The 10,576-nt window shown below is 43.0% G+C and overlaps 1 annotated feature.

Annotated features, from left to right (window-relative positions):
• Nucleotides 1-562: an enhancer, noted in NCBI's record as "OCT4-NANOG-H3K27ac hESC enhancer chr8:127422275-127422836 (GRCh37/hg19 assembly coordinates)". NCBI's record gives its function as "activates a minimal SCP1, AML or CMV promoter by ChIP-STARR-seq in naive H9 embryonic stem cells {active_cell/tissue: H9 hESC(naive)}" and the evidence as "EXISTENCE:reporter gene assay evidence [ECO:0000049][PMID:30033119]".

Consider the following 10,576-nt stretch of genomic DNA (forward strand, 5'->3'; position numbering starts at 1 on the left):
TTGTTTAGAATGAGAAAATAAATCACAACAGATTCCTGGAAACTTTTGCAATGCAGATCTCTTTCTTCTGGGTTTTCTTTGGGCAATTTACCGGAAAAAAAAAAAATGTACATATAAAGTCTTGTTTATTGCTCTCTGCCTTCTCTTCCCCACTTAGAACACTCCCTCAATGATGCCTGCCACTCAAAGAGGCCCCTGTCGGGAGAGGCCCTGAGGCTTAGGCATTATTAGCCTCAAGGCCAATTCACTTCTGAGAGTGAGAGTTTCGTGTGTGTGTGTGTGTGTGTGTGTGTGTGTGTGTGTGTGTGTGTGTGTGTGTGTATTGTAGGTAAATGCAGTGTGTATTGTAGGTAAATGCAGGATGAAGCCTTCCTGGAGGAGACCAGTGAGCTGAGCTTGGAGAGATGTGAGCAATTAGCTCGGGGGATGGGGAGGGAATGAAGCTTCCAGACAAAGTCAGCAACCTATGCAAGGGGGAGGGTTGGCAAGTGGATTTGGGGATCACTGTGCTACTGCGTGTTGGTTGCTATGATCAAAAATGTGTTTGTAGGTAAAAGGGTGTTTAGAGCAAAATTTCCCATTGACTTGTAAAATTTGGACCCTGGAGCATGGAAAAGTGGGCCATAAGCATTAGAAGCAAAATGCAGCCCACCTTATTCACACGTTCCAGACCTCTAAGGTCAAAGTGCTTCCTTTTTTATTACCCAGAGCTGTTCTTCTGGGAATGTTAAGTCCCCTCCTTTCCCATATTTGGGAATGAATGCAGAGAAGGCTCCTCTCATCAGGAGTGCTTACCAGCCTGCCTCACTCCCTCTCCTCTTTGCTGCCTTCGAGTTGTGTTACTGACATTTTTGAAAGGGCAATATCTCCCTTCCTCCCTGGGCCCTGTTATTTAAAAAGAGGTATTTTAAAACATTTTCTAGCCAAACCAGCGAACTATCATGATCTGTCCTGAACACTGTCAATGCTCATTAAATATATGTTGGCGTTCGTTGCTGAGTCCTGAGTTCCAGTCCCTATTCTGTGGTTTAATCACTGGAAGGCTTTGGGCAAGTAACTTAGTTTTCTTAGCCTTAGTTTCCTTATGTCAGGAGGCTAAATGCGATATGAGTGTAAGTTGTTTATCACAGTGCCCAACACGAAGGAAGCCTTCCATTGATGGAAGCTGTAAGACAACCATTCATTCTTTCATCAGATTTGCTGAAACCTATGGGTGTGAAGATGAAGATGACAAACCCTGCTTGGGAGAAGCTCATGGTTCCATGTGAGATACCAGAACATAAATGAATGAGGACACTCTGTTGCAATGGAGCTTGGATAGAGCAGGACCAATATTCTCTGGAATAACTCCTCTTTGCACCTAAGTAGGCAATGGTTAGAGCTCCGTGCAGCAAAGGGAGTAGACATTTGCCAGGTAAATGTGTTGAAAAAGGGCGACCCTGGCAGAAAGCAAAGCATGCCCACGTTTGTGGAGGCCGAACCTATAATTATCTGATTCTGGGAGTGCAGGCAGGAGGGAGAAAATGAGATAAACAGGGGAACAGAGGACTGATGCAAAGGTTTTATATATGGGGCTAAGGAATTCAAAGTTTGCTTTATAGGACTCAAGAAGACAACACATAAATTTTAGCAGAGGAATTATTCATACAGGGTTGTGTCTTACCAAGATTGTCTTTGCTGTGCTGTGGTAGATAGGCTGATGTGTGTGTGTATGGGGGATAGAGGGAAGACCAGGTAGAAAGGCAGCTTCACTGGTGTTTCCCCAACTCTGACTTCACAGACATGCTATACAATTTACAATCAATTTATTGTTATTCATTTATAAATTCTGTATTCACTCCAGAGGTGAACAGTTAAGAAGAAACCCTAGATTTAGAAAACTATATATTTCTTTCTTTGTCATCATTTTTGGTGTGTGCTCCATCCTGAACCTTAAATCACACTCCGTGTCCTGCACATTAGCCTGGGGGCTAGCACATAAAATCCACAGACAGCAACCCCAGCTCTGAGCAATTGTCCATCTGTTTGCTCTCTCTCTTAATAATAGCAGCTGCCACTTACTCATCCAACAAATGTAAGCAGAATGCCTGCCACGTATCTGGCCCTGAATTACAAGGTAGAAATAAAAAACTGAGTAATGTAACCAGATTATCTGCCTTTGAAAAATGTGTACACTGATAGAGAACTTTTTATAGACTAGATGCATTTTTCCCCATGTGCTTCTCCCAACAATAATATCAGATGCAGATATCATTATCCCCACTTCAGAAATTAGAAAATAGTATAAGGAGGCTAGGTAACTTGTCCAAAGCATATGAATAGAATTTCTTTCTTGTTCTTAACTATTAGTCCTTTATTCTTAATCATTACCTTGCTAGAAGGGCGCCATGGTTTGAATGTGGTTTCCCCACTAAAACTCATGTTGAAATTAGAAGCCTCATGTTATGGTGTTGAGAGGTGGGGCCTAGTGGGAGGTGTTTGCATCATGAGTGTGGGTCCCTCCTTAATGCCATTCCGCAGTGGCAAGTGAGTTCTTGCTTTCTCAGGAATGGATTAGTTCTGCAAGACTGCAGAACATATTGAAGGAGTCCTCCTTCTTTTATTCTTTTGTTTTTCTAACTTTCTATCTTGCCACGTAGTCTCTTGGCACACACCTGCCCCCCTTCCACTTTTTGCCATGAGTGGAAGCAGTGTGAGGGAGGCCTTCAGCAGATGCAGCTGCCTAACCTTGAACTTTCCAACCACCAGAATCATAAGCTAAATAAAGCTCTTATCTTTATAAATTACTCAGCCTCACAAGTTCTGTTACAGCAACACAAAATGGACTAAGAGAGAGGGGAACTTATTTCCCACTCCTGAGGTCCCCTTTTATGAGGAGGAAACTCCACCAGCAAAATGCAACTGTCCCCTCTGCTCTCTCCAGATGAGAAGTGACTTGAGGAAGCAGCAATTTGGAAGGAGACACTCTCCCTATCTTACCCCTTACTCTCACCTCCTCTTGGACTTGACCAATCTCAAAGCATACCCTCTGCCATCTTCCTCTATGCCCCACCTGCCATCAAAAAATTTCATCACTGAATGTTTATGTAACTCATCCATAGTCACATGTAGACTTGGGGCAGGGAGTTTTACCTGAGTCTGCATCCTTGACCACTGCATTAGTTTTCTAGGGCTGCCGTAACAAACTATCACAGTCTGAGTAGTTTAAAAACAGAAATGTGTTTCCTCACAGTTCTGGAGGCTACAAGTCTGAGATCAAGGTGTTCACAGAGTTGGTTTCTTCTAAGGCCTCTCTCTTTTTTTTTTTTGAGACAGAGTCTCGCTCTGTCGCCCAGGCTGGAGTGCAGTGGTGCCATCTCAGCTCACTGCAAGCTCTGCCTCCTGGGTTCATGCCATTCTCCTGCCTCAGCCTCCCGAGTAGTTGGGACTACAGGCTCCCGCCACCACACCCAGCTAATTTTTTATATTTTTAGTATAGATGCGGTTTCACTTTGTTAGCCAGAATGGTCTCAATCTCCTGACCTCATGATCCCCCTGCTTTGGCCTCCCAAAGTACTGGGATTACAGGTGTGAGCCACTGCGCCCAGCCACCTCCTCTTCTTATAAGAGCACCAGTAACTCTATTAGGGCCCACTCCAATGATCTCATTTAACCTTAACTGTTACCGGGGGGTCCTTGCTCCCAGAGCTCCCAAGATGGTGGTGGACTGCTTCCAAGACGGCCGCAAGCCTCTTTTTCCCTGACCTGGGGTTCTTGGCCTCACGGATTCTAAGGAATGGAATCTTGGGCCATGCGATGAGTGTTATACCTCTATTAGAAGCCGTGGATCATGGAAGAGAACCGTGGAACCCAGTGACTAGTGTTCAGCTCGATTAGGATGAACCTGGGCACTTAGCCCTACCGGATCTGGAGGGGTGGAAGTCAGTGGTGGGTCTGCGATGGTGGCAAACAGCAGTGGTGGACAGTGAGTGAAAGTTCAGCTTGAGCCATAACAAGTCATAACAAACATGGACCAGAAGAGTGTGCAGTTGCAAGATTTAACAGAGTGAAAACAGAGCTCCCATACAAAGGGATTCTTAGTCGGCTTAGGAAATCCAGCTAGTCCTGTCTCTCATAATGATTTCTTTCTTTCTTTTTCTTTTTCTCTTTCTTTCTTTTCTTTCTTTCTCTCTTTCTTTCTCTTTCTCTCTTTCCTTCTTTTTTCTTTCTTTTTCTTTCTTTCTTTCTTTCTCCTTCCTTCCTTCCTTTTCTTTCTTTTCTTTCTTTCTTTCCTTCCTTCCTTCCTTCTTTCCCTTTCTTTCTTTCTTTCTTCCTTTCTTTCTTTCTTTCTTTCTTTCTTTCTTTCTTCCTTCCTTTTCTTTCTTTTCTTTCTTTCTTTCCTTCCTTCCTTCCTTCTTTCCCTTTCTTTCTTCCTTTCTTCCTTTCTTTCTTTCTTTCTTTCTTTCTTTCTTTCCTTTCTTTCTTTCTTTCTTTCTTTCTTTCTTTCTTTCTTTCTTTCTTTCTTTCTTTCTTTCTTTCTTTCTTTCTTTCTTTCTTTCTTTTTCTGAAACAGGCTATCACTCTGTCACCAGGGCTGGAGTGCAATGGTACAAACATGGCTCACTGCTGCCTCAGTCTCCTGGGCTCAAGTGATCCTCCAGCCTCAGCAAGTCCTTCCCATGTAGCTGGGACCACAGGCATGTGCCACCCTGCCTAGCTAATTTTTTTGACTTTTTGTATAGACTCGATCTCACTTTGTTGCCCAGGCTGGTCTTGAACTCCTGGGCTTAATCAATCCTCCAACTCAACCTCCCTAAGTGCTGGGATTCCTGGCATGAGCCACCAAGCCTGGCCCTTAATAACCTCTTTAAAAAGTCTGTCCCCAAAAACAGTCAGTCACATTCTGAGGTACTGGGGATTTGGACTCTAACAGATTAATTTGGGTGGGAGACCCAATTCAGTCTATAGCAACCACTCCACTAGACTGTCTCTTTAGTGGCCAGAAGACAATGGGTACAAAAGCAACAGAATGTAAGGGGAAACATTCTCAGGAAGGTATAAATAAATGCCTTCCTGAGATATTAATTTATAATAAATAAACTGCAACCTGAGGTTGGTGCAAACATAACTGCAACACATCTTTATTAATCAAAATAGCAACCATTACAATTACAATCAACATATTTTTGCCAATGAGAAATAAGTTTGCTTATTCCTGTAGCATAAAAATCCATGCTTAGGGTTTTAATGAACTCTTGAAAAGCATTTTCTGCGTCCTGTTGGTTGTGAAGCGTTTTCCCTGCAAAAAGTTGTCAAGATGCTTGAAGAACTGGTAGTCAGTTGGCAAGAGGTCAGGTGAACATGGAAGATGAGGCAAAACATCATAACCCAATTTGTTCAACTTTTTTTTTTTGAGAGAGAGAGTCTCACTCTGTCTCCCAGGCTGGAGTGCAGTGGTGTGATTTCAGCTCACTGTGACCTCTGCCTCCCAGATTCAAGAGATTCTCCAGCCTCAGCCTCCCAAGTAGCTGGGATTATAGGTGCCTGCCACCATGCCCGGCTAATTTTTATATTTTCACCATATTGGCCAGGCTGGTCTCGAACTCTTGACCTTAAGTGATCCACCCACCCTGGCCTCCCAAAATGCTGGGATTACAGGTGCATGAGCCACCGCACCCTAATTTGTTCAGCTTTTGAAGCATTGGCTGTGTGACGTGCAGTTGGGTGTTGTCGTGGAGAATTGGGCCCTTTCTGTTGATCAATGGCAGCTGCAGCCATTGTAGTTTTCAGTGTAGCTCATCAATTTGCTGAGCATACTTCTCAGATGTAATGGTTTCGGCGGGATTCGGAAAGCTGTAGTGGATCAGACCAACAGCAGATCACCAAACAGTGACCATGACCTTTTGTTGGGGGGTTTTGTGTGTGTGTTTTTTGTTTGTTTTGTTTTTTGTTTGTTTGTTTGTTAATTTGTTTTTTAAATGGAGTTTTACTCTTGTTGCCCAGGCTGGAGTGCAATGGCATGATCTAGGCTCGCTGAAACCTCCATCTCACTGGTTCAAGTGATTCTCCTGCCTCAGTATCCTGAGTAGCTGGGATTACAGGCACCTGCCACCATGTCTGGCTAATTTTTTGTATTTTTTTGGTAGAGACAGGGTTTCATCATGTTGGCCAGGCTGGTCTCGAACTCCTGACCTCAGGTGATCTGCCCACCTCGGCCTCCCAAAGTGCTGGGATTACAAGCGTGAGCCACTGTGCCAGGCCGACCATGACCTTTTATTTGGGGGCAAGTTTGACTTTGGGAAGTGCTTTGGAGCTTCTTGGTCCAACCACTGAGCTCGTTGTTGCCGGTTGTCATATAAATCCACTTTTCATCACAATCTATTCAGGAAATGGTTCGTTTTTGTTGCATAGAATAAGAAAAGATGACACTTCAAAACGACAATTTTTAAATTTTCACTCAGCTCATGAGGCACCCACTTATGGAGCTTTTTCACCTTTCCAATTTCTTCAAATGCAAATGACTGTATAATGGTTGATGTTGAGTTCCTTGACAACTTCTCCTGTAGCTGTAAGAAGATCAGCCTCAACGATTGCTCTCACTTGGTCATTGTCAACTTCCGATGGCTGGTCCCTATGTTCCTCATCTTTAAGGCTCTCGTCTCCTTTGCAAAACTTCTTGAACCATGACTGCACTGTATGTTCATTAGCAGTTCCTGGGCCAAAGGCATTGGTGATGTTGTGAGTTGTCTCTGCTGCTTTACAACCCATTTTGAACTCGAATAAGAAAATCACTCGAATTTGCATTTTGTCCATAGTCTAAAATCAACATAAAATCAAAAGCAAGTAATGTCATTGGTAAAAAACATAAAGCAAGAAATGCACATTAAAATGATGTGTAATGTAACCACATTTAAGAATGTATTCCAATATCAAATGGCAAATTTCAACAATGCAGAAACCGCAATTACTTTTGCACCAACCTAATACATGTGGGAATTAAGAGGAAAGAATTATCTCTAGCTTTTGAAATGTGGCAGGGACTTGAGGAAGAAACAAAATGTCCGTCAGTGTTTTTAGCCACAGCAATCAAGACCAACTCTGGCTTTCATAAAGAGATTTTTTTTTTTTTTAATTCTGGGAAGAATACCAGGAGACTCATAGAATACAAGGAAAGAATGAAGAGTATGACTTGTGAGAAAATAAATAGAAGTTTTTCCAAGAGGTCTGGGTAGCAGGAACCAATGAAGAGCTTCTTCAGAATGGCTCTTCCAGAATGAATCTGTGTGTTTCTTCTGCCATTACAGCACATCCCTTGAGAGTCACATTCCAAAGATAGGAAATTGAACAAGCCTATCTTGAGACGTGTGTCCACTCTTTGGCTTGGGGAACATAGGACACTTGGAAAAAAGGCTGTATCCAATAGCAGTAGGTGGTACCCTAAAAGATATCAAGACAGTAGGAGTAACAGCTGAACAGGCAAAGGGAGCACCACAAGTGGATATATCATTCTGATGCTAAAGCTGGGGAAACTGAGACTTAGCTTTAGGGATAACTGATATCTTAAGAGACTCAGGGCTGGGCACGGTGGCTCATGCCTGTAATCCCAGCACTTTGGGAGGCTGAGGTGGGCAGATCGCGAGGTCAGGAGATCGAGACCATCCTGGCTAACACAGTGAAACCCCGTCTCTACTAAAAATACAAAAAATTAGCTGGGCATGGTGGCGGGCACCTGTAGTCCCAGCTACTGGGGAGGCTGAGGCAGGAGAATTGTGTGAATCCGGGAGGCAGAGGTTGCAGTGAGCCGAGATCGCGCCTCTGCACTCCAGCGTGGGCAACAGAGCAAGACTCTGTCTCAAAAAAAAAAAAAAAAAAAGAGAGAGAGAGAGACCTGGGAATTGTAAGACACCTTAGACACCTTGCTAATTCCAAATAATGTAGTCTTTCTACTTACCCCATAGTGCATCAGTCTGCCCGCTCCCAGAGTGAATACATTAATATATGAGTACATATATAAATAAACAGGCAAATGCATGACTAGGCAAGAATTCCAGAATTTCAATCCACTTACTTCTATATACTCACTTTCACTACTAAATTGAATTGAAGGCCTAGGTATGCTTAATAAGAAAGCTTTCTTTATTTGGTTATCATCAATATTCAATGAAGAATTTGAATCCACATAATCCACTTATTGTAAAAGAGGTGCAAGTTCTAGTTTTTCCTCTTGTCAATTCACCTGGTCCTTGACGAGCTGAGGAGTATTTGTATGCAGCTAAACTCCTGCAGGTGATCTCTGCTTTTCTGCCATTGTCAAGCCCACCAGGCAGGGGTCAGGTCCAACTCTGTGTTCACAGTAGCACTTGATCCATTATTGTAACTAACAAAGTGAACAGCTTTGTCTTATACATGCAAGAAGGAAGACGTCACTTCCATGTTTGGGGAAAGGGGGTTGAGATGTGGCAGGAAGACAACAAGCTCTGCATCAATCAATTTATCAGGTATTTATTGAGCCTCCACCTATGTGTTCAGTGCTAAGCAAGCCCACAAGTGAAAAAGCAAATGAATAAGCCAACAGGTGCTTCTCAGGAATGCTTCATCTCTATAGCTTAGTAACTGAGACCTGAGAGCTGGCATGTTAGACAAACCCAGACATCTACAGGATACCTGACCAGTACACCTTAAGACTGCCAAGGTCATGAAGAGCAAGGAAGGACTAAGAAACCGTAGTAGACCACAGGAGAGTGAGAAGACATAGCTACTAAATGCAATGTGTTATTCTGGTTTGCCTGGTGAAATAGAGAGAGAATTGTATTGTGGTAAATAGTGTCCCCCAAAAAAAATGTATTTCCACCAATAACCTGTGACTGTGACCTTATTTGGAAATAGGGCCTTTGCAGATGTAATCAAGTTAAAATGAGATCACACTGGGTTAGGGTGGGCCATAAAGCAATATGAGAAGAGAAAATGTTGTATACAGAGACACAGACATAGGCAAGATCAGCAAGGGAAGCTGGAGACAGTGATTGGAGCGATGCTTCTACAAGTCAAGAAACAGCTGGCCGGGTGCGGTGGCTCATGCCTATAATCCCAGCACTTTGGGAGGCCGAGGCAGGTGAATCACAAGGTCAGGAGTTCAAGACCAGCCTGACAAATATGGTGAAACCCTGTCTCTACTAAAAATACAAAAATTAGCCGGGTGTGGTCATGCACACCTGTAATCCCAGCTACTCGGGAGGCCGAGGAAGGAGAATCACTTAAACCCGGAGGCAGAGGTTGCAGTGAGCCCAGATCATGTCACTGCACTCCAGCCTGGGTGACAGAGTTAGACTCCGTCTCAAAAAAAAAAAAAAAAAAAAAAAAAAGAAACAGCAAGGACTGCCAGCAACCACCAGAAGCTAGAAGAGGAAATGCGAAACACTTCCCTCGTGCCTTCAGAGGGAGCATGGCTTTCTGGGCACCTTGATTTTGGACACCTAGCCTCAGTCAATTTTTACTGTGCCAGTCACTGCCGAAGTTAATAACAGTGCTCACATTTACACTCAGACATACACACACACTAGTAAGTGTTAGTGCTTACTGTGTGCAAAGACCTACTACCTGGCTCTTTGCATGCATTTTTTTTCTTTCTGTTTTTTTGTTTGTTTGTTTTGTTTTGTTTTGTTTTGAGACAGGGTCTCACTCTGTCAGCCAGGCTGGAGTGCAGGGGTGCAATCTTGGTTCACTACAATCTCTGCCTCCCAGGTTCAAGAGATTGAAACAACAGAATAAGTTTCTGTTGTTGTTAGCCACCCAGCCTGTGGTATGTTGTTATGGCAGCCATGAAAAACTAATATAAGGACATTAATAGAAAAAAATGTTAAACATAGATAAAAGCTGGGGCTCAGTCAATAATAATGTACTGATGTTGATTTCTTTCTTTTTTTTTTTGTTTGTTTGTTTTAAGGAGCAAGGAGTTTAATAGGCAAGAAAGAAGGGGGAAGAAAGAAAGAAGCTCCCCTGTACAGAGATAGAGGGAGGGGGGCTCCAAAGCTGAGAGATGGAACCCCAGATGTTGATTTCTTAGTTTGACAAACCTACCACCATAATATAAGATGTCACCAATAGAGTAAATTGGGTGAAGATTATACCAGGATTCTGTGTGCTATCTTTACAAGTTCTCTGTAAATATAAAATTATTCCAAAAATGTTTTTAAAGTTTATTTTGGGGGAAGAAAAAGCAACACACAGGCTGTGTCATCTTTGAATGATCAGCTCCCTAAGCTTTGGTCTCTTCATGCATTAAATGGAGATAATCACAGCCCTGCTCAGAGTTGAGGGTTTTAAAATGCGATAATGCATAGAAAGTGCTTAGCAGGTCACGCCTTTTTCCATTTTGATTCTGTCACTTGGTCTATTTGCCAGCCTTTCCAAAATCATGTCACAATGAATTTGCCCAGTTCGTGCCCTCCTTCATGCTGTTGCTTAAAATATTAACAGTGAAAAGGACAGGACCCTTCAGGCTGCTGCTGGATTCAGTGGCAGCAACTCCACTGAACGAGGACAGTCTTCCAATTCGCTATGGATCCAGCAAACTCATGTGTTCCATCTCAGGTTAAAA

This window comes from Homo sapiens, chromosome 8 (genome assembly GCF_000001405.40).
Source record: "Homo sapiens chromosome 8, GRCh38.p14 Primary Assembly".
Classification (NCBI taxonomy): Eukaryota; Metazoa; Chordata; class Mammalia; order Primates; family Hominidae; genus Homo; species Homo sapiens.